This window comes from Homo sapiens, chromosome 18 (assembly GCF_000001405.40).
Source record: "Homo sapiens chromosome 18, GRCh38.p14 Primary Assembly".
Taxonomy (NCBI): domain Eukaryota; kingdom Metazoa; phylum Chordata; class Mammalia; order Primates; family Hominidae; genus Homo; species Homo sapiens.
The window spans coordinates 79,272,274-79,299,275 of NC_000018.10; the positions used below are offsets into that span (position 1 = coordinate 79,272,274).

A 27,002-nucleotide genomic window follows, 5' to 3' on the forward strand; every position below is an offset into this window, starting at 1 on the left:
ATAGCATGCTTCCATGTTTAGGGTGTATCTCTGCCTTTGTTCCAGCGGCACAGCATGTGTAAGCTGTGTGTCTGTGCATGCCTGATGCACCGTATGCATGTATGTATGATGTGCCTGGTGCACATCTGCACTCCGGAGCCTTCCCTGAATCCTGCACGGATACGCTCCTGTCCCTGAGCTCTCTCCACTGAATCCTGCACGGATACGCTTCTCTCCCTGAGCTGTCTCCACTGAATCCTGCACGGATACGCTCCTGTCCCTGAGCTCTCTCCACTGAATCCTGCACGGATACGCTTCTCTCCCTGAGCTCTCTCCACTGAATCCTGCACGGATACGCTCCTCTCCCTGAGCTCTCTCCACTGAATCCTGCACGGATATGCTCCTCTCCCTGAGCCCTCTCCACTATAGCTCAGGCTCTTCATTTGCCATAAACCCTCTAACTCTTCAGATCAGTGATCATTTCCTGTCATTGATTACTTGCTCCACTGTAACTCTCAGTCACCTTCTGTTATGCATCATTCCTAATCCACACAATGACCATGGCACTCTACAGATGCTGTTCCCGAGGCTCAGAAAAATCAAGTCTGTCATTGGTCTAAGAAGGTTTGAAAATTAGGAATCAATACAGGTAAAACACAGTTACCTATGCCTCCTCCCTACGAAGCATGGAAGGCCAGTGGCTGTGGAACTTAGGAGGTTGAACTGGCAGGAGTTCTTGATTATCTGGATGCAGGCACTGGAAGGAAAAGGGAAATGGATTACTCTTGGTGTCTGGCTGCAGTGGCAGGTGGCCGTGCCAGTCGTTATGATGGAGAAACTTTCCACGCTGAGGAAGAGTACATGTGCGTGTTTTATTTTGTTTGGCCCATAAGGGGAGGAAGTAGGAATGTTAACACCCATTGTGTGTCTGTTCATTTCAGGGTGTTTGTGATGAATCTAAGATATCTCATAGGAAATAGAACACGTGTGCATCTGAAGCCCGGAGAGAGGTCTAAACTAGGCCTCGACATTTTGGGTCTTGTCTCCACCATGGATCACACTGGTGGGACTCACCCAGGGAGAGTGTTTGGGCGCCGGCCCTGCCTCCCTAATATCCCATGAAAAATGGAAAGATTTCACAGAGTGACAAATGCTGGGAAAAATTCAGATCACATGGCCTCTGTGTCCTTTCAGCTTTACGATCTGTAGGAAAAGATGTTAATTTCTTCGGTAAAACTTCTGATTAAATGACTTCTGTTTCGTTTTGCTCAGATTAGAATCCAAAAAATAAGTCTGACAGAGGAACGCATGTGAATTATTTCAGGTAGTTTCATTCCCTGAGGAGAATCTCGCGCGATTCTCAGACAAGTTGTGGGACTGGGTTCACCTGGTAGTGATAAATGCTGCAGGTTTAATTATAACAAATTAGAGCTTAAATGTAGCAAGCATCGTGGTGCCTAAATAAGATTGCATGGTATATTTTAGGAAAACGCACTTCAAATTTTTCAGAGTCCAAGTTACCTCCTCAGACACTTTTGTAGCTGTGGAGCAGAAGGAACTTTTTGGACAATAGGGAGGTATAATTAAGAGATCTGACATTCCGAGATTTACGAATGCTTTCTTCCTGTAGCATAAAACAGGTTCATGTATCTTCCTACTCCTAACATTGCTGAACACAGTATTTGTTTAAGATAATTTATTTCATTTTTCATATTGCATAAAAGTCATGACTGCCTTTTGTTTCAGGTAACTGTCTGAAATGACAGGTACCTTTTTCCACTTATCTGGAACAGGTCTCTTGGTAACAATTTCACAGTTGCTAAATTAGCAATAAAATGAGCTTAAAATATAGCTGGTATTGATTACTTTATAATCTATTTCTATAATTCTCAAAATACTAGGTTTAATATATATTGAGGGGGGGTGACATATTATGTTACAGTATAGTACTTTACAGCTGAGTAGAGATCCAGGTTTTAAAATTCTATAAAATTAGAACATTACTAAAAATTACACATAATGCAGCAGTGATAGCTATACTCTGCCAACTTAGTGTTTGAAATCTGAGCATCATGGAGATTTTTAACGTTAAAGAGGAAATTGCTGTATTAACAATCAAAGTACATGTGAATCACATGCATATAAGCTGTCTACTCTGTATGTAGTATTAAATGCTCCCGATGTGTTGTTATATACTCCTTATGTGGTATTAAATACCCCATGTGGTAGTATATGTGCCCTATGTGGTAGTATATGCATCCTATGTAGTATTACATACTCCCTATGTGGTATTAGATGCATTCTGTGTGGTATTATATGCAACCTGTGTGGTATTATACAAAACCCGTGTGGTATTATACATGCTCTGTGTGGTATTACATACTCCCTATGTGGTATTATTGTCTTAATTGAAGTCAGGTGTAGTTTACTCAGTGATCTTTCGCTAGTAAGCTGTAAACTTGCATCCTGCAGTGGCTCTACTTATTTTTTTCATCCTGAAGATGATCTCTCACCTTTTCATGAGTAGCTACTGCTTTATACAATCTTCCGAGAGCACTTGTATTCAACTTACCATATTTCAGTGGTAATTATTATATTCCATGAAATAACTTAATATTCCATGATACAACAGCTCCGCGTAAGTCTAACCACGGAAACGGTTTCATGAGCCATAGGCCCCTCGTGATTGAGGAGCAGCGCCCAGAAGAGCCATCCTGGTCCTTTGGCTTCCACCACCCTGAGCCCAGTGGCCAACTGCAAGCTCTTCAGAAATTCCCAGCTAACAGCAGAAACCCATTTGCATTATAGTAGCTGAGGCAGGCTGACACTCTTCAAAACAGTATGACACAAATCTGAAAGAACACAGCACATAGATAGAAAGCCATGTTTTCCAAAGTGCAGATATCCGAGCCAAAGAATCAGAGCCATGAATAGCGTAATAGGAAGTCAAATCCCCCTTTCAAGCCCTTTTCCCCTCTTCTGTACAGGAAGGCAGTCATTTCTTGGCCACCTTGCCCCTTGCCTGCCTCCTTCTTTCTTGAGTATTGCTAACATTTTAGCTAAGTGGTCCATGACTTCCACTTTCTCTTTCTGATTCACAGAGAATCTTTCTCCAAAGCCCAAATCAAAGAAGAGTTAATGTAAATGTGTTTTCTTTTCCTTCTTCAAACCTCCCACTCACCCTAAACTCATGTGGAACAGCCCTGCTATTTAGTAACCATTTGCAGGAATGTCCTTAGCTTTTCCTGAGCCTTTCCTGCCTGTCAAACACTCCTCTGAACATTTGGCAGGCAGCAGTTCACATAGTCTTCAGCACAGCTGATAAAGGTTTCGTCTCTAGCCCATTTGTTAGGAGGCACTGGAGGCATACAGGTGGGTAACTTGTAGGCGTCAGCATGGCCAGCCAGCACTCCTCGCCAGGGAGCTGCAGCCGTCCTGCACCAAGAGGCCAAGTGGCTGCTGTGTCCGGCCTTGAGTGTCATCTTGCAGGGGAGCTTTGAGTCATCTTCGCTTAGTGCTTGTGTCTTTGATTAGTTTGTATTTTAAATAGCGAAAGATGGTGAGGTGCTGGTTTAAAAAGCTGTGTAATTGTCAAAGGCTTACTTTCTAACTAGTACATAGAATTTTTAAGATATGAACTCTATGGACAGATAAGTCAAAGTATGATTATTTAATGTTCTTTAACTTACATACAGACTTCCTTCATTGACTGTGATTCCTAAAGACTATTTTTCGAGTGTGTACTTATTAATAGTTGAGCTATGTGAATTGCCATTTTGCTGGGTCAAAAATGTTTGAATATCAGCAGTTTCACTCTGTGGTATAAGTACATCCTGTCTGCTTTCTTGACAGGATTAAATTAGACACATGTGAACATTTTTGAGTTGCTGTATAGGAAGAACTGCGCTGCCAGCAGCCGCATGAGCAGAGCCTGCCTCCTAAAGTGATGTGATGTGAGCTCATGTTCTGACATGGCCGCTCTGTAGGTTTCCAGGCCTACAGGGTTCCAGCCTTCTGCTCCACTCCACTGCCTCCAGGCAAGGTTCTGCAGAATTGTCCCCAGTCAGATGACTCATCATATGTGCTTTAATTGCAGTCTTACTACACGGACTTAAATTATGAAATTTTAAAAATGACTAAAAAGTCCAGGGCATAGTTAGCAGATACCATTTTATTTGTCATATCATATCCCATTTGTTCTGTTTTCCAGTTTAGCTCCTGAAACACGGGAAATATCCCATTGGTCATGGTAAAACAAGTGGATAAACCTTGAGGCCCATTTCCCATGTTGATTTGCAGGAGGACCCCGCCTGCTCCATGTGTGTGCCCTGTCCTGTAAGCCTTTGGTAGTTGTCCCTTGCGGGCATATACGGGCACACTCACAACAGTCTGTTTTTCTGTCCCATCTGGTGTTACAGACTGTCTTGAAGGACAGAATAGGAGTTACCTATTTTTCTGTCACCTACAAATATTATCTTGGGTGTAAACATGTTTGTTGACTTAAATGTCAGTAAATACATTTATTTTAAAGTCTAAAATCCAATATTATGTATTTTCATATAAAATGAAAGATAATGCATATTAAAAAATACGTGTATATGGAACCATGAGCCTGAATGTGTGGCCTGGGTCTGGATCACATTAACCACTGCAGTGGGTTTTATCTGGCAGTTTGGGTATGAACTTGGACATGGGTCTGGATCACACTAACCACTGCAGTGGGTTTTATCTGGCAGTTTGGGTGTGAACTTGGACATGGCTCTGGATCACACTAACCACTGCAATGGGTTTTATTTGGCAGTTTGCGTGTGAACTTGGACATGGGCAAAGCGGTGTATGGATGGATGATGATGAAAGATGAGAACATCCCTGGCACGGTCGTTCGGACCAGCACTATCCCAGAGGAACTTGGGCGCCTGGTGTATTTATTGACAGACAAAACAGGTACTGTTCGTGGTCTGTGTTCACCTTTGAATGGACAAAATGACATTTAATAAAAAATAGCATAGCGTATAGATATATGTTTATGTGTATGTATATATGTGTATGTATTGGAACAGATCATTGAATCCATATTTAGAATTTTTCAGCCTCTACTCTTGAAACTGTCACACAGCTTAATCATCTTCTAGTATACACAGTATCATAAGAATTATCAAAATGTTAAGTTCTTAGAGCTTTAAGTAACATATTTCTGTGTTTTTAATTTTCTACAGTCTTACAGTTTTTTTTTTAAACTACCTTTGTAACACCTCCCTAGTGGCTTATTAAGAGCAAGAATTCCATGTTTGTTTATTATAGAATGATACTTGTGAGCTATTAGAAGAAAATAACAGATATGTTAATTTGGTATTTAATACTCAAATTCTCCTAAAAAGCTTTACTACAGACTATTTATCCCACTCTAAAGCTCTAGGACCAAAATTCTGTTTGTCCTTATTTAATTTTCTTCTTTTTTTCATCAAAGAACTCTTACCAATCCGTAACAGATTAAAGACAAACAATTGGAATCTGGTACTATAAGGAAAGCCACATCTGAGGGCTAAAATTCCTCCTTGATTTATTGATTTGTAATTTAAATTGCAAGTAATTCTTAGTGAACTAAAAATAAAAGAATACTTATATAGCGTGATAAACAAAATATGTTGCAAACAAAATTCAACATAGTTTTAAACTATTAAATAGTAGAAAAATCCTCACTATAGTCAACAAGAGGACAGAGAAATCTGCAAACAAGACTGTTATTTAAAATTCATAATGGAAGCTCTAGCCATTGCAGCAAGACAAATAGAAATAGGATATAAGACTAAAGGAAGAAACAAATATTTGCAGGTATAGCAAAAGTGGCAGATTATGGATTAAAATAACAAAACAGGTCTCTAATACATAGTGGAGAACAGACCGAAGAGTAAAGCTCCATTCACAGCAGCTGCGTCCATAGAAGACACAGAGGCAGGAACCTGAGGAATGAATGGAAAGGGCACACAGACGGTCCGCAGCTTCATAGTCGCTCGACTTGATGCGACTTTGATCGAGTGGTGCGGTAGCTTCACTCGAACTCGATGGTGGTGCAGTAGCTTCACTCGGGACTGTACTTCCACTATCCGTGCAGCAGTTCTTTCTTTCACTTTCAATACGGTGTTCAAGAAATCACATGGGATATTCTTTGTGTTAGCTGATTTTGCCCAACTGTCAGGTAACGTAAGGGTTCTGACACAGTTAAGGTAGACAGGGCTAGGCCATGGTATTCGGAAGGTGAGATGCATTAATAACCCCATCATAAGTTGAGGAGTCTCTGTTTTGGAAGTCATACTATTATCTCAAAAGTAGAAATTCAGTATTCTTTGTGTCAGCTCTCATGATGAATTTGTAACTTTAGTGTAATTGAAAGTTCAGTTGTTGGATTTGTGTTTGAGTTCCATTAGACTTTGTCTTGTGAGAGGTTGAGGAACTTGGCCAAGAGAGCAATGTTTATGAATCCCAGTGACTCGGAGAGCAATTTGAGGGGCTTCTGGTTCAAAAAGGTAGACTGAGAAAGAGTGTTAGGATTTTCCCTTCCCAACCTCATGAAGCCTACAGAAAAATGTTTAAAGAATAAATAAATCCATGGTAATACACAGAAAACAAGCAGGAGTAAAAATATTAGAGGATCCAGAAATTGAGTTATTTCTGGAAAACAGTTGGAATCAGTTTGCAGGTGAGAGCAGAGCAAAGCAGACCAAAGTTGCCAGTGGCTGCTGAGGAGACCCCACATGGGTGGGAGAAACGTCCTGCAGAACCTAGGGGTGGACGAGCCCCAGACCTGGAGCCGACAGGTGTGTGGGGTGGCACGGGAAGCCATCAGGCCACCGTGAGCGGCGCCTGTGAGAGCAGGTGACCACCAGGATTTGCTCATGTGCCCCCTGCGAGGGCTGCTTTCCCAACGTGGAGAGGCTTTTGGGGAGAAGCACTCATGCGCCCCCTGTGAGGGCTGCTTTCCCAACGTGGAGAGGCTTTTGGGGAGAAGCACTCACTGGTTCATGTGCCTGCCCCTTATGCAGAGTTCACAGACAGCCCCTTGATTTGGAAACCAGCCCTTTGGAGGAACAGGTTTATGGAACTTCAGAAGAAACCCACCCCAGCTTACTTTACAAACAACTTAGTCTTCATTGATAAATATAATCAGAAATGACAAATCACCAGCATGAAATCAAAGTAGCAAAATATGAACAACCGTACTGTTCCCAAAGAAAACAAATTCATAGAAAAAGCAAAAGAAACTTCAGGAAAATGTTCAGAATTTTAAGAGAATTTATTCATATGTATGAGTTTAATATCTAAATTCAGCAGCAATTCTGTACACCAGCAACCATTAGGACATTTAATACCAAAACACCAGTTAGAGTAACAACAAAAAGTATAAAATCATTAAAAATAAATGTAAACAAAAATACGTAAGACCTAAATGGATGTAAGTTTTTAAAATTTGAAAGCCCTTAAGACCGAAATACATAGGCGTACTGTCTTCTTGAATAGAATATCTTAGCATAATAAAGAGATATCATTTCTTCTCACATTGAAAGATCTGATGTGTTTGCAAGCCTAGGAGGAATCAGAAACTCCTGTTCACTCTTGGTGGGAACTTAAGTTAGCGTTAGCGCATCACTTGGTAAAACACATTTTGGCATCATCAGTCAAGTTGAATATGCACGTGTTCTACTCTCCAGCCGTTTTGCTCCTGCTTCTGTTCCCTACAGAAATGTTTGCACATCTACACCAGAAGACATGCATAAGAGTATTCACAGCATTCTAATGGTTAACAAAAGCAAGCAACTGTCTAGATGTAACATAAAAAAGTTTATCAAAAATAGAATGGACCAAGAAATTGTGGAATGTTCTTACAGTTGAATACTAAATAGCAGTGACGATGGAGTACGGATATTGACAGAAACATGGATGGATTTCAAAATAGAATGTTCAAGAACTAAGAGAAACATAAAAAATTTAATAAGGTTTATTTATATAAAGATAAAAGCCATGAAAGATTAAACCATTGAATATTTAGAGGAAAATAAAGGATCAAGCTGTAAATAAAAGAAACATTAAAAAAAGCATGTAGACCAATATGAATCAGAAGGAAACTGGTATATCTACCTTGATTAATATTAAGCAAAATAAACCTTAAAATGAAAAAAGTTATTTAAGAAAGAGGGTCACTACATAAAAGGTTCAATTCAAAATGTTTGTGTACTTAATAAAATAGTTTCAATACATAAAGCAAGAATTGATACAGGGAGATATTGATTATTTGCTGTCAACCACAGGAAGAAATGTTTAGATCTCTTTTTTTTATTGATTAGCCAAGCAGGCAGTTCAGAAGATTTGAATAGCATAATTGTCAGTTTAGATCTTATGGACATATATAGAGTTACTTATCTAACAACTAGAAACACATGTGCTTATCAGACATGTATGAGAAAGTTACACAAATTTGATACATACTAGGCCGTGAGTCAAATTTCAATAAATTTTAAAGAGTGGATATTTCTGATCACAATAAAAAAGAGATGAGTTAGAAGTTAATAACAAAGAAATAAGTTCTTAAATCTCTGCATTTTTAGAAATTGAAGTATATACTTTTAAATAGCATACATCCAAAAATAATACAGATTCAAAATGCCTAGAACTAAATAATAATATAATCACTTTATATCAAAGCCCATGAATGTACAAAATCAAGGTTTTTATAGGAACTTTCCTTCATTTTTTTAAATAGAAAAACAAGAAAGCCTAAAAATTATCTAAATGGCCAACTTAAGAATAGTAAAATAAATTCAAGGAAAATACAAGGAAAGAAGATACCAACAGAAAGCAGTGACTTGATAAAACCATCAATGATTAATACGTCCTGTCAGACTTTTGAAAAAGACAACAAAATAAACACACTTTCAGAATTCTGATTTTTAAAAAGTAAGAAAAGGTGGGCCAGGTGCAGTGACTCACACCCGTAATCCCAGCACTTTGGGAGGCTGAGGCGGGTGGATCACCTAAGGTCAGGAGTTCGAGACCAGCCTGACCAACATGGAGAAAACCTGTCTCTACTAAAAATACAAAAATTAGCCAGGCATGGTGGTGCATGCCTGTAGTCTTAGCTACTCCGGAGGCTGAGGCAGGAGAATCACTTGAACCTAGGAGGCGGAGATCCTGGTGAGGCGAGATCACGCCATTGCATGCCAGCCTGGGCAACAGGAGTAAAACTCCATTTCAAAAAAAAAAAGTAAGACAAAGCATGAACACATACTACAAAAGAGAAGAGAAACATAGATACAGATGTATCTGATACTTAAAAGAAATTTTAAGAGAATGACAATGTTTTATAACCAGTAAATCTAAAAAGCTGAGTAATAGAAAAATTCTCAGAAAAAAAGTGTAAGCTGTTAAAAATGACTCAGAAGAAACAGTTTTAGCAATCCTAAAACCATTAGAGTAGTTTTTAAAAAAATCTTCTGGGGCCAGGTGCAGTGGCTCATGCCAGTAATCCCAGCACTTTGGGAGGCCAAGGCAGGCGGATCACCGGAGGTCGGGAGTTCAAGACCAGCCTGACCAACATGGTGAAACCCTGTCTCTACTAATGGATCTACTGATAGATCTGGCCAAATCAAATTGAACACCTTCTGGAAAGGATTCACGATTCCAGTTGCCATTAAGAACATACGTGGTACCTGGGAGGAGGTCAGCATTCATACAGGTTTGGAAGAAGTTGATTCCGACCCTCAGGGATGACTGTTAGAAGGTTTCAAGACCTCAGCGGAGGGAAGAGCCGCAGGTGTGGTGAAAATAGGGAGGGAATTAGGAGTGGAGCCTGAAGATGACTGAACTGCGGCAACCTCAGGATGAAACTCGAACAGATGAGGAGTTGCCTCTTACGGATGAGCAAAGAAAGTAGTTTCTTGAAATGGAATCCGCTCCTGGAGAAGATGCTATGAATGTTGTTGAAGTGACAACCAAGGATTTAGAAGATTCCATAAGCTAAGTTGATAAAGCAGGGTCTGAGAGCATCGACTTCAGTTTCAAATGAAGTTCTTTGAGTAAAATGCTGTCCAACAACATGGCATGCTACGGAGAAATATTTTGTGAAAGGAAGAGTCAGTTTATGTGGCAGACTTCATTGTTGTCTTATTTAAGGAATTGCCACAGCCAGTCCAAACTTCAGCCACCACCACCCTGATCAGTCAGCAGCCGTCAACATTAAGACAAGACCCTCTACCAGCAAAAAGATTAAAAGTTGCTGAAGGCTCAGATGATTGTTAGCACGTTTTAAAAATATTTTTAAATTATGGTAGGTATATTGTTTTTTAGACATACTACTAATTGCACATGTAATAGACTTACTATAGTGTAAACATCACTTTTCTATGAACTGGGAAACGCAAAAAGTCATGTGGCTCACTTTGTTGTGATAGTCACTTTATTGCCCAGGTCTGGAACCAAGCGCTTCCCCTGTCTCTCAGTTGTGCCTGTAGTTTCCTATCTAGTTTCCTATGTACTTCATATCCTCAATTGGAAAGGGCTTTGGAATCAAATCTGGGATTGAGTCTTGGTGCCCCCCAACTATGTGTGATGTTAGGCAAATCCTTTAACCCTTCTGAGCAAAAGAAATGTGTTGTCAGTCACTAAAATGTTGTGATAGTTTGTTACACAGCTCTAGATAACAGGGGCACCCAGGCCAACAGAGAAATACAAATCACTCTCAACTCTGAAAGCAGCTGGTTTTGCCCCCTTGCCTTTGTGAGGCCTCTAGTACCCTGGTGAAACCAGTGCATGTATTTACTGCTAATCGGTTGTTTTATTCCAGGAACTTAAATAATTAAGATCTTTCTATTTTGTATTCCATATTTTAGTCATATAAATAATTCTGCTCTTTTGCTCTGCCCTTCAGTGTGTAAATCAGAAGTCAGACAGGCTTTTGCAGTCACCTTGGGGGCCTCAGTCACAGCAGAGGTTCTGTAACTGTGGATGGTTGTTTATTATAAAGCGTCCTGGTTCTCCGTATCAGAGGAGGCATGTTGAGCCATAAGGCAGTTTGCAGATATCTTCCAAGTGCCTTGAGTTTCAGCTGAAGTGATGGAGAGTGAACTGCTGTCTCAGGAGCCTTAATGTTACTAACATAATTGGAAGGTGGTCCTTCGCAGGAGTGTAAATGGGGTCTGTGCTTCATCAGTAAGCTTTTGGATAAGAAGCGTCCATCACAGTGGTTCTCTCATTTGCCACGGCAGAATAGAAAATGAAGTATCCCAATAATTGCATTATAGTTTCCTTCTTGTGGACAAGAAAGCAATGTGGTATAATTAGGTTTGATTGGAGTGCACATTTCCGGTAAGATCTGAAATTAATGATGTTGCTATAGTGACACATCTGTGGCCACCAGTGCATGAAACATAAAGCAATTCATTCGACAAGCGTAGACATCTGTGAACTGCAAGGATGCAGAGCATATTGACACTGACCAGAAATACTCGACGCCGGCTGATAAATGAACAAATGATGCTGAAACAGGAGGACAGCCAATTTGTACTTAATCTGCTGGGAGAACTTTAATCTTCTCACTGGTTGCATTTGACAGTGCCATTGTTTAAAGAACAATGCTGCAGAGAACTCATAAATTTTAAAACTTAACTCAGGGTGCAGCCTATTAAAGCAATACATTAATTCCTTTGTTAGGGAGGTTTTATCTTCATGTAGAACAAAGCCGTTACTAAAAACACCCACTAAAACAACAGGTTTTTTAGGACTCACATTTTAATTATAGCATCCATTACCCAAAATGCCATGTTGTTCAGAATTGAATCACATATAAGTTTCACAAGATGGCATCATCATGAAGGGGAAAGCTGTTTTCCCAGTTTGTAAGGGCAGGCAAGCATGACGTGTGTGCTAGTGAGTGCATACGAGGCAAGCAAATCTCACAGGTAAGACTTGGAAATGTTTTTTAAACCAAGTCTCTTATGCATGATGCTAATAACCGGGTATTCAGTTACAGCAAATATGAGTAGCCTTACTGGTTCTGTTTTTACTAATGTGTGTCCTTGGATATGAGTGCTGTAATTAACATTTTGGGGGTGTTTGGGCCAGTTGAGATATTAACACATGCAGATAATTAACTGATGCATACCGTCCTGAGAATCGCAGTTTAGAGAAAGCCTGATTTGCAGAGACTGTATTTAACTTTGAATATAATATTTGACTTCACTTTAAACAGTGTCATTGACTTTGAATATATTTGGCTTCACTTTTAAAAAGTGTCAAATATTTTCAAAATTCAAAGCATACTTTAAAGATTGGCAAATTAGTCTTATCACTTAAGTTTTGTTTCCATTTCATTTTTTTTAATTTTTTTATTATTATTATACTTTAAGTTTTAGGGTACATGTGCACAATGTGCAGGTTAGTTACATATGTATACATGTGCCATGCTGTGTGCTGCACCCATTAACTCATTATTTAGCTTTAGATATATCTCCTAATGCTATCCCTCCCCCCCACCCCACCCCACAACAGTCCCCAGAGTGTGATGTTCCCCTTCCCGTGTCCGTGTGTTCTCATTGTTCAGTTCCCACCTATGAGTGAGAATATGCAGTGTTTGGTTTTTTGTTCTTGCGATAGTTTATTGAGAATGATGATTTCCAATTTCATCCATGTCCCTACAAAGGACATGAACTCATCATTTTTTCTGGCTGCATAGTATTCCATGCTGTATATGTGCCACATTTTCTTAATCCAGTCTATCATTGTTGGACATTTGGGTTGGTTCCAAGTCTTTGCTATTGTGAATAATGCCGCAATAAACATACGTGTGCATGTGTCTTTATAGCAGCATGATTTATAGTCCTTTGGGTATATACCCAGTAATGGGATGGCTGGGTCAAATGGTATTTCTAGTTCTAGATCCCTGAGGAATCACCACACTGACTTCCACAATGGTTGAACTAGTTTACAGTCCCACCAACAGTGTAAAAGTGTTCCTATTTCTCCACATCCTCTCCAGCACCTGTTGTTTCCTGACTTTCTAATGATTGCCATTCTAACTGGTGTGAGATGGTATCTCATTGTGGTTTTGATTTGCATTTCTCTGATGACCAGTGATGATGAGCATTTTTTCATGTGTCTCTTGGCTGCATAAATGTCTTCTTTTGAGAAGTGCCTGTTCATGTCCTTCGCCCACTTGTTGATGGGGTTGTTTTTTTCTTGTAAATTTATTTGAGTTCATTGTAGATTCTGGATATTAGCCCTTTGTCAGATGAGTAGGTTGTGAAAATTTTCTCCCATTTTGTAGGTTGCCTGTTCACTCTGATGGTAGTTTCTTTTGCTCTGCAGAAGCTCTTTAGTTTAATTAGATCCCATTTGTCAATTTTGGCTTTTGTTGCCATTGCTTTTGGTGTTTTAGACATGAAGTCCTTGCCCACGCCTATGCCCTGAATGGTAATGCCTAGGTTCTCTTCTAGAGTTTTTATGGTTTTAGGTCTAACGTTTAAGTCTTTAATCCATCTTGAATTAATTTTTGTATAAGGTGTAAGAAAGGGATCCAGTTTCAGCTTTCTACATGTGGCTAGCCAGTTTTCCCAGCACCATTTATTAAATAGGGAATCCTTTCCCCATTGCTTGTTTTTCTCAGGTTTGTCAAAGATCAGATAGTTGTAGATATGCGGCATTATTTCTGAGGGCTCTGTTATGTTCCATTGATCTATATCTCTGTTTTGGTACCAGTACCATGCTGTTTTGGTTACTGTAGCCTTGTAGTGTAGTTTGAAGTCAGGTAGCATGATGCCTCCAGCTTTGTTCTTTTGGCTTAGGATTGACTTGGCGATGCGGGCTCTTTTTTGGTTCCATATGAACTTTAAAGTAGTTTTTTCCAATTCTGTGAAGAAAGTCATTGGTAGCTTGATGGGGATGGCATTGAATCTATAAATTACCTTGGGCAGTACGGCCATTTTCATGATATTGATTCTTCCTACCCATGAGCATGGAATGTTCTTCCATTTGTTTGTATCCTCTTTTATTTCATTGAGCAGTGGTTTGTAGTTCTCCTTGAAGAAGTCCTTCACGTCCCTTGTAAGTTGGATTCCTAGGTATTTTATTCTCTTTGAAGCAATTGTGAATGGGAGTTCACTCATGATTTGGCTCTCTGTTTGTCTGTTATTGGTGTATAAGAATGCTTGTGATTTTTGTACATTGATTTTGTATCCTGAGACTTTGCTGAAGTTGCTTATCAGTTTAAGGAGATTTTGGGCTGAGACGATGGGGTTTTCTAGATATACAATCATGTCATCTGCAAACAGGGACAGTTTGACTTCCTCTTTCCCTAATTGAATACCCTTTATTTCCTTCTCCTGCCTAATTGCCCTGGCCAGAACTTCCAACACTATGTTGAATAGGAGTGGTGAGAGAGGGCATCCCTGTCTTGTGCCAGTTTTCAAAGGGAATGCTTCCAGTTTTGGCCCATTCAGTATGATATTGGCTGTGGGTTTGTCATAGATAGCTCTTATTATTTTGAGATACGTCCCATCAATACCTAATTTATTGAGAGTTTTTAGCATGAAGGGTTGTTGAATTTTATCAAATTCATTTCTGCATCTATTGAGATAATCATGTGGTTTTTGTCTTTGGTTCTGTTTATATGCTGGATTACATTTATTGATTTGCGTATATTGAACCAGCCTTGCATCCCAGGGGTAAAGCCCACTTGATCATGGTGGATAAGCTTTTTGATGTGCTGCTGGATTCGGTTTGCCAGTATTTTATTGAGGATGCTTGCATCAGTGTTCATCAAGGATACTGGTCTAAAATTCTCTTTTTTGGTTGTGTCTCTGCCGGGCTTTGGTATCAGGATGATGCTGGCCTCATAAAATGAGTTAGGGAGGATTCCCTCATTTTCTATTGATTGGAATAGTTTCAGAAGGAATGATACCAGTTCCTCCTTGTACCTCTGGTAGAATTTGGCTGTGAATCCATCTGGTCTTGGACTCTTTTTGGTTGGTAAGCTATTGATTATTGCCACAATTTCAGAGCCTGTTATTGGTCTATTCAGAGATTCAACTTCTTCCTGGTTTAGTCTTAGGAGGGTGTATGTGTTGAGGAATTTATCCATTTCTTCTAGATTTTCTAGTTTATTTGCGTAGAGGTGTTTGTAGTATTCTCTGATGGTAGTTTGTATTTCTGTGAGATCGGTGGTGATATCCTCTATCATTTTTTATTGCGTCTATTTGATTCTTCTCTCTTTTCTTCTTTATTAGTCTTGCTAGCGGTCTATCAATTTTGTTGATCCTTTCAAAAAACCAGCTCCTGGATTCATTAATTTTTTGAAGGGTTTTTTGTGTCTCTATTTCCTTCAGTTCTGCTCTGATTTTAGTTATTTCTTGCCTTCTGCTAGCTTTTGAATGTGTTTGCTCTTGCTTTTCTAGTTCTTTTAATTGTGATGTTAGGGTGTCACTTTAGGATCTTTCCTGCTTTCTCTTGTGGGCATTTAGTGCTATAGATTTCCCTCTACACACTGCTTTGAATGTGTCCCAGAGATTCTGGTATGTTGTGTCTTTGTTCTCGTTGGTTTCAAAGAACATCTTTATTTCTGCCTTCATTTCGTTATGTACCCAGTAGTCATTCAGGAGCAGGTTGTTCAGTTTCCATGTAGTTGAGCGGTTTTGAGTGAGTTTCTTAATCCTGAGTTCTAGTTTGATTGCATTGTGGTCTGAGAGACAGTTTGTTATAATTTCTGTTCTTTTACATTTGCTGAGGAGAGCTTTACTTCCAACTATGTGGTCAATTTTGGAATAGGTGTGGTGTGGTGCTGAAAAATATGTATATTCTGTTGATTTGGGGTGGAGAGTTCTGTAGATGTCTATTAGGTCCGCTTGGTGCAGAGCTGAGTTCAATTCCTGGGTATCCTTGTTAACTTTCTGTCTCGTTGATCTGTCTAATGTTGACAGTGGGGTGTTAAAGTCTCCCATTATTATTGTGTGGGAGTCTAAGTCTCTTTGTAGGTCACTCAGGACTTGCTTTATGAATCTGGGTGCTCCTGTATTGGGTGCATATATATTTAGGATAGTTAGCTCTTCTTGTTGACTTGATCCCTTTACCATTATGTAATGGCCTTGTCTCTTTTGATCTTCGTTGGTTTAAAGTCTGTTTTATCAGAGACTGGGATTGCAACCCCTGCCTTTTTTTTGTTTTCCATTTGCTTGGTAGATCTTCCTCCATCCTTTTATTTTGAGCCTATGTCTGTCTCTGCACGTGAGATGGGTTTCCTGAATACAGCACACTGATGGGTCTTGACTCTTTATCCAATTTGCCAGTCTGTGTCTTTTAATTGGAGCATTTAGTCCATTTACATTTAAAGTTAATATTGTTATGTGTGAATTTGATCCTGTTATTATGATGTTAGCTGGTTATTTTGCTCGTTAGTTGATGCAGTTTCTTCGTAGACTTGATGGTCTTTACAATTTGGCATGATTTTGCAGCGGCTGGTACCAGTTGTTCCTTTCCATGTTTAGTGCATCCTTCAGGAGCTCTTTTAGGGCAGGCCTGGTGGTGACAAAATCTCTCAGCATTTGCTTGTCTGTAAAGTATTTTATTTCTCCTTCACTTACGAAGCTTAGTTTGGCTGGATATGAAATTCTCGGTTGAAAATTCTTTTCTTTAAGCATGTTGAATATTGGCCCCTACTCTCTTCTGGCTTGTAGAGTTTCTGCCGAGAGATCCACTGTTAGTCTGATGGGCTTCCCTTTGAGGGTAACCCGACCTTTCTCTCTGGCTGCCCTTAACATTTTTTCCTTCATTTCAACTTTGGTGAATCTGACAATTATGTGTCTTGGAGTTGCTCTTCTCGAGGAGTATCTTTGTGGAGTTCTCTGTATTTCCTGAATCTGAATGTTGGCCTGCCTTGCTAGATTGGGGAGGTTCTCCTGGATAATATCCTGCAGAATGTTTTCCAACTTGGTTCCATTCTCCCCGTCACTTTCAGGTACGCCAATCAGACGGAGATTTGGTCTTTTCACACAGTCTCATGTTTCTTGGAGGCTTTGTTCATTTCTTTTTATTCTTTTTTCTCTAAACTTCCCTTCTCACTTCATTTCATTCATTTCATCTTCCATCACTGATACCCTTTCTTCCAGTTGATCACATCGGCTCCTGAGGCTTCTGCATTCTTCATGTAGTTCTCGAGACTTGGCTTTCAGCTCCATCAGCTCCTTTAAGCACTTCTCTGTATTGGTTATTCTAGTTATACATTCGTCTAAATTTTTTTCAAAATTTTTAACTTCTTTGCCTTTGGTTCGAATTTCCTCCTGTAGCTCAGAGTAGTTTGATCGTCTGAAGCCTTCTCTCAACTCGTCAAAGTCATTCTCCGTCCAGCTTTGTTCTGTTGCTGGTGCGGAACTGTGTTCCTTTGGAGGAGGAGAGGCGCTCTGCTTTTTAGAGTTTGCAGTTTTTCTGCTCTGTTTTTTCCCCATCTTTGTGGTTTTGTCTACTTTTGGTCTTTGATGATGGTGATGTACAGATTAGTTTTTGGTGTGGATGTCCTTTCTGTTTGTTAGTTTTCCTTCTGACAGACAGGACCCTCAGCTGCAGGTCTGTTGGAGCTTGCTGGAGGTCCACTCCAGACCCTGTTTGTCTGGGTATTAGCAGCAGTGGGTGCAGAATAGCGGATTTTCGTGAATCGCGAATGCTGCTGTCTGATCGTTCCTCTGGAAGTTTTGTCTCAGAGGAGTACCCGGCTGTGTGAGGTGTCAGTCTGCCCCTGCTTGGGGGGTGCCTCCCAGTTAGGCTGCTCGGGGGTCAGGGGTCAGGGACCCACTTGAGGAGGCAGTCTGCCCGTTCTCAGATCTCCAGCTGCGTGCTGGGAGAACCACTGCTCTCTTCAAAGCTGTCAGACAGGGACATTTAAGTCTGCAGAGGTTACTGCTGTCTTTTTGTTTGTCTGTGTCCTGCCCCCAGAGGTGGAGCCTACAGAGGCAGGCAGGCCTCCTTGAGCTGTGGTGGGCTCCACCCAGTTGGAGCTTCCTGGCTGCTTTGTTTACCTAAGCAAGCCTGGGCAATGGCGGGCGCCCCTCCCCCAGCCTTGCTGCCGCCTTGCAGTTTGATCTCAGACTGCTGTGCTAGCAATCAGCGAGACTCTGTGGGGTAGGACCCTCCGAGCCAGGTGCGGGATATAATCTCATGGTGCGCCCTTTTTTAAGCCCGTCAGAAAAGTGCAGTATTCGGGTGGGAGTGACCCGATTTTCCAGGTGCTGTCTGTCACCCCTTTCTTTGACTAGGAAAGGGAACTCCCTGACCCTTGCTCTTCCCGAGTGAGGCAATGCCTCGCCCTGCTTCGGCTCGCGCAACATGCGCTGCACCCACTGTCCTGGGCCCACTGTCTGGCACTCCCTAGTGAGATGAACCCGGTACCTCAGATGGAAATGCAGAAATCACCCATCTTCTGCCTTGCTCACGCTGGGAGCTGTAGACTGGAGCTGTTCCTATTCGGCTGTCTTGGCTGCCCCCCTTCCATTTCTTGTAAGGTCTAAGTAAGTTTGTGTTTTGATACATCCGCTGATTATGTATGTGTCTTACTTTGTTTAACTAGAATCTTCACAAGAAAGTTTATTGCTCTAGGTGCGTGGCATATCTCAGTGTTACCTTTCTTTATATATTAAAATCACTGGCTCCCTTTTGTATGATGGTGTGGTAGAGTTTAGGGGTGAGGCCAATTCACAATTCAGGAATATGTGGTCCGAAACCTCTGCAGCTGTGTCTCAGAAACTGTCTACTCGGCTCAGTCATGGATCACATCTGTTGCCACTCTGAGAATGATGCCTGCAGGACTTTTTCCCTAGAAATTAATTTCCTCTTTGCCTGCTTTGTTCATTATAGTCCCAAAAAACTCTTTTTCATTAAAGAGCTGCAGCTTTTTTTTTTTAAGAAATCAGAAACCTTTTGTCAAAAGACATTTTCTGTCTATATAGCTACATACCATAGCCGAGTCTGCTGTGAATCTCTTTGACGTGACGGCACTCTTACTCTCTGGCTGCATTCATTCCTCCCTTTTCCAAAGCTTCCAATTTGGGGGCATATTAATTTCTGTTGTATTAAAATGACAAAAGTTGTAGAAATCATCAGTGTTTGAAATCATGGAGAGCATTTGAGGTAAGATTTGAAAAATAATTTTGTATTACAGACTCTACATTATCTACTACTGCATAAGAGGTGAAGGAAAGTCTGAAATTAGCAAGTTATGAAATTAAAAAATCATCGAGATTTAAAAAATATTTTTGGGCTTCATCTTCATATGTGAAGAAAGTACGTGTGCCACTCACCTGAAGGAATGTCTGCATAAGTATTGCAGTTTCTTTAACCCAACAAGGTGTGATTGCATTTATTCACATGGACAGAATAACAAACCCAAAAACTTTATCATTCGTTGATGAGAAGTGTTAGTCATTTATTTGAATGTCAGTTTTAAGCTACTGATAACATGATTGATTAGCAACGGAAACATTTTAGAAGATACCACGCATTTGTTTAATTCAAATGGTCAACTGTCAGGATACATCGCTCTCTTATTCCACTCTCACCACAATCTAACTTTAAAACATTCTCATCACCCTAAAAAGCAACCTTGGCACTCCCCATCCTCCCCTTCCATCGCCCGTGCCCCAGGCAGCCCCTGGTTACTTTCTGTCTCTGAGGACTTGCCTGTCCTGGGCGTTCCACGTAAATGAGTCAGACCTATGCAGTCCCTGCTGGCCTCCTTCACTGGCATATACTCTTTTACTGGTTCATTCGTATTGTAGTGTATATCAGTACCTCATTTCTGTTTATTGCCAAATAATATTCCATCGTGTGGATACACCACACTTTATTTATCCATTCATAAGGTGATGGACATGGGTTGTTTCTACTTTTTGCCTACTACGACTAATGCTGCTGTGAGTATTCAGGGTTCTAGCCAATGCAGTTAGGCAAGAGCAAGAAGGTGGCGTCCACATTGTAAAGGAGAGCAAAACTCTCTCTGTATGTGTGACATGGTCATGTCCGTAGGAAATCCTCAGGAGTCACCCAGCCCTCTATTAATTAAAGGGGTTTGGTAAGATTGTAGGACGCAAGATCAACACACAAGAATGAAATTGTATTTCTGTATGCTAACAACGAACCATCCAGAGATAGAATTAAGAAAACAATTGTATTTACAGTGCATCAAAAAATATTTCATTGTGTTAAGACGGCAACAATTCTAGCTTCTTTTATCTATAGGTTCTGTGTAATACCTACTAAAATCCCAGCTACCTTTGCATAAATTGGCAAGCTGATTCTGAAATTCACATGGAGATACTAGGGATTCAGCATGGCTACAACAATCTTGAAAAACAAACAAAGTTAGAGGACTTGCAACTCGTGATTTCTTCTTTAAAAAAAAAAAAAAGACATGCATCCGAGGAATGTGGGCTGCAGAGTGGGGGGTGGGTGAAAGATGTGAGGTTAGGGGTTTGTTTTGTTTTGTTTTGTTTTGTTTTTGAAACAGGGTCTTGCTCTGTCACCCAGGCTGGAGTGCAGTGGCACAATTGTGGGTCACTGAAACCTTGATCTCCTGGGCTTAAGTGATCCTCGTGCCTCAGCACCCAAAATGCTGGGATTACAGGCATGAGCTATTACACCTGGCAGCAGCTCCTGGTTTCAAAACCTAATACAAAGCTACAGTAATCAAGACAATGTGGTATGTGGTGCGGGCATAAGGACAGACACATAGATTGATGGACTAGAAGTGAGAGGCCATAAATAAATCCAAACACTTACGGTCATTGGGTTTTCAACAAGGATGCCAAGATAATGCTATGGAGAAAGAACAGTGTTTTCAACAAATGGTGCTGGGCAACTAGATATCCCATGCAAAAAATGAAGTTGGATACTTATCCCACTTGTACCTAAAAGCTAACTCAAAATGGATCATAGACCTAAATACAAACACTAAAATTATAGTATTTTTAAATTACTCAGCTTTGAGAAAGTATTCTAAATTTGTTATACAGTTTGAATGTTTGCCCCCTCAAAAACTCTTATTGAAATGTCATCCCCAGTGTGACACTATTAAGAGGTGGGGCCGTTAAGAGGCAAGTGGGTCATGAGAGATCTGCTCTCATGAATGAATGAATCTACTCATGGATTAATGGGTGAATGGATCAGTGGATTTTCATGGAGTGTTAGTTGTCACAAGAGTGGGTCTGTTAGAAAAGCCACTTTGGCCCTCTTGAGCCTCCTCCCATCATGGGGCGGCCTGCAGTGCCTCAGGACTCTGCAGAGAGTCCCCACCAGCAGAAAGGCCCTGACCAGATGCAGCACCTCAGCCTCGGACTTTCCAGCCTCCAGAACTGTAAGCAATAAATTCCTTTTTAAAATTAATTACCCAGTCTCAGGTATTTGGTTATAGCAACAGAAAATGGACTAAGACAGTTCTCCATTTCATTCTCCCTGGCTCCAATTAAGTAACTGAATAAGACTTTTGGTATCTACTGAGATATAAAGCTTTATAAACATAACTCAAAAGGAAAAATAGTTCAAACCTAAGTTTCAGTTATATTTTAAATTATTTTCAACTAAATGCATAAATGCGCAGATATTATATTCAGTATTTTAGCATCGCCTTGCATGTTTCTGTGACAGCTATCTGGTCTCCAGTATTTTCAAGGGGTCTTTGTGTACATGTAGAATTCCTCTCAGTTTTCTCCAAGCAGCAGTAAGAAGCAAAGTATAATAGCATAGCTGAAGTTGGGAATCTCAGAACTTGAAATACTACCACCAAGCTGAGAAAGGACATCTAACTAAAGCACTGGATTAAAATAGTGCTTTAAAATCCCTGATTTACTGTCTAGAAAGAGTCTGTGAATGGAGTGATTATAAATGATGTAACTTTGTTTTTGGAAAACATCTGTTGTCCATGTGGATTTTTTGCATTTAGAAATGCCAGAGTTCTCTTCTCCAGAAAAAGATGTCCCAAAGTCAATGATAAGTACCTCAACTATATGCCACTTTCAACCCATGATGAATTCGTGGGCCTAGGAATCGATTGTGGGTGGCTGTTTACATCAGAGGAGGCGGCCAGACACCCTGCTTCCTGATGGAAGGACGCTCCCTGCGCTGCAGCAGTCTCCACGGAACCTTGCCTCGCCAGCCTTGCCCAGCCGTGGCTCACAGGAAACACAGGGCCCACAGGCACAGGAGAAACGGCCAGTGGCCAAGTACAGATTGTGGGAACTGAAACCGTCAGTCCAGGTTCTTTAACAAATCAATTTCAAGGAAGAAAGAGATGGAGGAGAAAGCTGTAGAGTAAAAGAGGCTCAAGAGACCTTTCCTGGATCCATACTTCAGACAAGCAGTGTAAAAAACTATGACACACGAGACACCTGGAAATTAGAACCCTGACTTCTGTTTAACATGGAGGAGTTATTGTGGCTGTCTGGTGTGCTAATATTTCGGTTCTGTTTAAAGTGTCTTTCACAAATGATACTGACATGCCCATGGTTGAAATGATATGGCTCAGATTAGTTTCAGCAGCGCCAAGAGGAGTGAAGTGAGGGCTCAGATGAAAGAGCTGCCCTAGGTCCATGTTGCCAAAAAGGAGCGATGGCCACAGGGCTTTCAGGAGACTATCTGTCTTCTTGAGGTAATTTAACATTTCCTTTTAAAAATGTAGAAGGGGTGAAAAGAACATACGTTCCTGGATTTCAGTTCCTTGCATTTAATATCTTTCAAATTTACATACAAAAATGACATTTTCTGTGTGTTTTGGTTTTATTCCAGCTATAGGTACGTGTGCGTGCATCCATGAATGCAAGCACACACATACACAGACACAGACACACACACACACACAGCAAGGTTGATGCCCCATATACCATGAGGGATTTCTAGTGTGTATTCCGCATGTTGAAATGGTATTATTACCAGGAAAGTGGAAATTTTGACTATTAGACACCCAAAATCAACATTTCACTGTTCAAATCAACTGCCCTACTAAAGCATCAGAAATACATTGGTCTAGCAAAGTGAAATTGGCACGTAATTATGTTTATAACCATCTTACTCATTGATTTCCTCTAAGAAAACTGTGTTATTTAAAACCTATTATAAAGTTTCATATCGAGAAAACTTGAATCTTTTACTGTCTACAATTTTTCTCATTGCTTTTTGGCCAACTGTATAAGTGAAAGGGGGTATTATGTCTGAGGGCAGAATGTACATGGTGTTTAAAGAATAATTTTCACACATGGCAAATTCCACATTTGCCAAACCTCTCCTCCCATTTTCTTTTTAAATTTTTATATGTGTCATTAGAATAGCTTTATTCACAATGCAGTGATATTCCCTGTTGTTTCTGACAGCAGATACGTTACACTCAGGTATCATGTGGCCTGAATGTTCATCTCTCTCTAAAATCCCTGTGTTGAAACTGAGTCCCAGATGATGGCATAGTACTAATTAGGAGAGGTGACTGGGTCATGGGGCAGAGCCCCCATGAATGGGATTGGTTCCCTTAAAAGCAAGGTCCTAGGGAGGCAGATTCCCTCTCCCAGCCCTGAGGACACTGCAAGAAGGCTCCACTATGATGAGGGCCCTCATCAGACACCAAATCTCCTGGTGCCTCATCTTGCATTTCCCAGCCGCCAGAGCTATGAGAAGTAAATGTTTGTTGTTTATAAACCACTTGGTTTATGGTATTTTTTAATTTTAATTTTTATTTTTTGAGACAGGGTCTTGCTCTGTCACCTGGGCTGGTTTGAGACAAGGTCTTGCTCTGTGACTCAGGCTGGAGTGCAGTGTCGTGATCACAGCTCACTGCAGCCTCAAACTCCTGAGCGCAGTCCATCTTCCTGCCTCAGCCTCCCTAGTAGCTGGGACTGCAGGTGTGTGCTGCCATGCCCAGCTAGTTTTTGTATTTGTGATAGAGATCGAGTCTCACCGTGTTGCTCAGGCTGGTCTTGAACTCCTAGGCCCAAGCCATCTTCCTATCTTGGTCTCCCAAAGTGCTGGAATGACAGGTGTGAGCCACCATGTTACTGCAGCCCAGAAGGAGTGAGACAGGAATTAATAACTTAATAACACATAGTTTCAAAAATCAATTACTGTAAATTGTGTGGTTTTTTCCTAAAGATCTTGTGTGGCTTTAAATTTATCTGCATGTTGCCAAACCTGTGGTGAGAATCCTACGCTAGCTGCACTTTGCAACGTCAATAACGAGGTAAAAAACAGATTTTTCAAATAAATCTCAAGTATTTTTAAGGACAGGAAAGAACTAAATATAGAAGGTATCTTCCGGATTTTTATATAATATTTCCAACTTTGGATTCCACACAGAAAATATTTTCATCCAGGGCAGAAACAGTAGTGCAAGTGTTTGATTTCTGTTTACAGCAGTCTTCTATATACCTTCCACCACCCTTGTTTCATAAATTAGGCTCGTTATCATTATTCTTTTTTAAAAATTTAAATCAGCAACTTTTTTGGCTGCTATTTAGGAGTCAGGTTCTGGGGATAGAGTTGGGATAATACAGACACTGCCTTCCTGGAGATTCCACTGCAGTAGGGGAGATGCACGCTCAGCAGCTAAAGACCCAGAGAGAAGACAGGGATGACCCACAGAGAAGACAGAGATGACCCAGAGAGAAGACAGAGAGATGACCCAGAGAGGAGAAAGAGAGATGACCCAGAGAGGAGACAGAGAGATGACCCAGAGAGAAGACACAGACGACCCAGAGAGAAGACAGAGACGACCCAGAGAGAAGACAGAGAGATGACCCAGAGAGAAGACAGAGAGATGACCCAGAGAGGAGACACAGACGACCCAGAGAGAAGACACAGACGACCCAGAGAGGAGACAGACGACCCAGAGAGGAGACAGAGAGACGACCCAGAGAGGACAAAGAGAGATGACCCAGAGAGGAGACACAGACGACCCAGAGAGAAGACAGAGAGATGACCCAGAGAGGAGACGCAGACGACCCAGAGAGAAGACAGAGAGATGACCCAGAGAGGAGACACAGACGACCCAGAGAGGAGAAAGAGAGATGACCCAGAGAGGAGACAGAGATGACCCAGCCAGAGAGGAGACACAGACGACCCAGAGAGAAGACAGATGACCCAGAGAGGAGACACAGACGACCCAGACACCACAGGGGCTAGCAAGACGCGGCCCGCCGTTCTCATCGCGTTATGAGGCACTCAGTAAATATTAAATACACATTTTATATATTGTGGGTATTTTTGGTAATATATCTACTTTTTAGTGAGACAAATGGGATGTGGAATTCCATGACTGTCTATGTGGGTGTCCATTAGGACTGTAGTTTGTCCTGTAGCTTAATTTTACTATATTTAGATGTAGGGGTTTGTACTTTACAGATCAAAAATTCTCTTCTTAATAGAGAAGTTTGTTGCACTTTCAAATACATTATATTATGTTTAGTTTAAGGAGATAAAACAGCTACTCAGGGACTTAGGATTTCATGTTTCGCCTTGATAAGACTCTACACTGTCGTGTAATAATTGTATCTAATGCTGGCCTGATCTGTAATTAGGAAGGAAACACTGCAATGACCTTAACAGAACAGCCCTGGGTATAAAGAGCAGGAAGGGATGCAGAAAAGCATATGACAAATGTAGCCCTCATTCATGCTTTAAGAAGAAAACTCGGAAAACAAGGATTAGAGGGGAACATCCTCAGGTTGCTGAAGAGAATCTTAAAGAGCTGAGGCTGAGGCCTCACTCTGTGTGATGGAGACGCACGCTTTCCCTAGGTCAGGAAGGAAGCGAGGGTGCTTGTCCAACAGTGCCAGCATTCCAGACAGTGCAGTACGGTAAGAAAGGGGAATGCAAGGTATGGATATCAGAAAGGAAGAAATCGAGTTAAAATTAAAGAAAGAAAATTGTCCCTGTCTGCAGATGGAATAATTATCTACCTAGAAAATCCAAGGAATGTACAAAAAATTCTGTGAGCCAGTGAGTTCAGCAGGGTCACAGGGTAGACTGTCCACATGCAGAAACCAATGGTGTATCTACACTTGCAGTGAATATGTGCCAGCTGAGATGAAAAGTACGGTGCCGTTTATAATTCCTTGAAAAAAGCGCGGTACTTAGCCGTGAATCTAATATAAAATGAGTGGGCCTTGTGGGCTGCAAACTACGTCACACTCATGAAAGAAACCAAAATAGACCGAAATAAACACAGTGATTTTGCTCATGGACCTCAAGTCTCCACACACTAAAAATGTCACTTCTCTTTTCGATATTCAGTTTAATTCAGTTTCTGTCAAGATTTGTTTTGTAGGTAAGATTATTTCTAAATTTATTTTTAAGGCAAAGGAGCAGGATAGCTGAAGTGACTTTGACAAAGAAGAAAGTTGAAGGACTCACTACCAGATTTCAAGACTTAAATAAGCTGCAGTCATCAAGACTGTGTGGTATTGGGGGATTTTTCAATGGATACAGAACCTAGAAGTTGGCCTTGCACCAAAGAGGATATGGGAACAGAACATCAGTATGAGGAAAGATGTTCCTCCTTCTCAGGAGGCAGAGTGGCTGTCCCATAGCCACTTCAGACTCACCATCTGTGTGTTCTCCCCTTCTCCCAAAGCTGTCTACTTTCTTAATTCCTGTTTCTTGTTGAGGGCCAGCCTCCCTGAGCAAGGCAGTCAGCCTGAGCTGCTCTTCGAGGTCTTGGATCCGGAGCCTCCACATTCAGTTCCCAAGTCCAGTTGATGCTCTTTTCTAGACTTCTGAAGATTTCATGCATTTGCCTCTTCCTTTCTGTCTTGATGCCTGCTGCCACATCATCCTTCACGTAGACCTTGATCCCAGTTCTTTCCCCCACATTTGACCCCCACCACTCTGTCCTTAGAATAATGCCTCAGTTAACTCTGTTACCTGGACAGGGCCCATCCAGAATGAAGCCGGGACTCCTGAGCCTGGCTCTGCATGCCCTCTTGGTGGACAGGAGGCTCTCTGCTTCACTGTGCTCTCTTGAT

General features: G+C 41.0%; 1 protein-coding gene and 1 long non-coding RNA gene across 39 annotated transcripts in view, besides 1 other annotated feature; one reads left to right on the plus strand and one right to left on the minus strand.

Annotated features, from left to right (window-relative positions):
- ATP9B (ATPase phospholipid transporting 9B (putative)) overlaps positions 1-27,002 on the plus strand; it is a 308,890-nt gene that overhangs the window by 202,880 nt on the left and 79,008 nt on the right. For 35 of the 37 annotated variants that reach the window (XM_017025726.2, XM_011525963.3, XM_017025727.2 and 32 more), the window contains one exon: positions 4,781-4,923. In XM_017025726.2, the coding sequence (XP_016881215.1) occupies positions 4,781-4,923 (143 nt within the window). Of the gene's footprint in view, positions 1-3,831; positions 4,017-4,780; positions 4,924-27,002 lie in introns of those variants that run through there. The other 2 variants (NR_148360.2, XM_047437502.1) reach the window with 2 other exon arrangements.
- On the minus strand, positions 653-26,672 carry LOC105372226 (uncharacterized). Of its 2 annotated transcripts, none has more exons than XR_935686.3 (3): positions 26,583-26,672; positions 18,962-19,068; positions 653-736 (listed from the first exon to the last, which is right to left on the minus strand). It is a non-coding gene; the product is annotated as an uncharacterized LOC105372226 (long non-coding RNA). The 2 variants fall into 2 exon arrangements; XR_935687.3 differs by lacking the exon at positions 653-736 and adding an exon at positions 9,933-10,074.
- Positions 4,063-4,132: an enhancer, noted in NCBI's record as "active region_13537". NCBI's record gives its function as "activates an Ori minimal core promoter by ATAC-STARR-seq in GM12878 lymphoblastoid cells {active_cell/tissue: GM12878}" and the evidence as "EXISTENCE:reporter gene assay evidence [ECO:0000049][PMID:35858748]".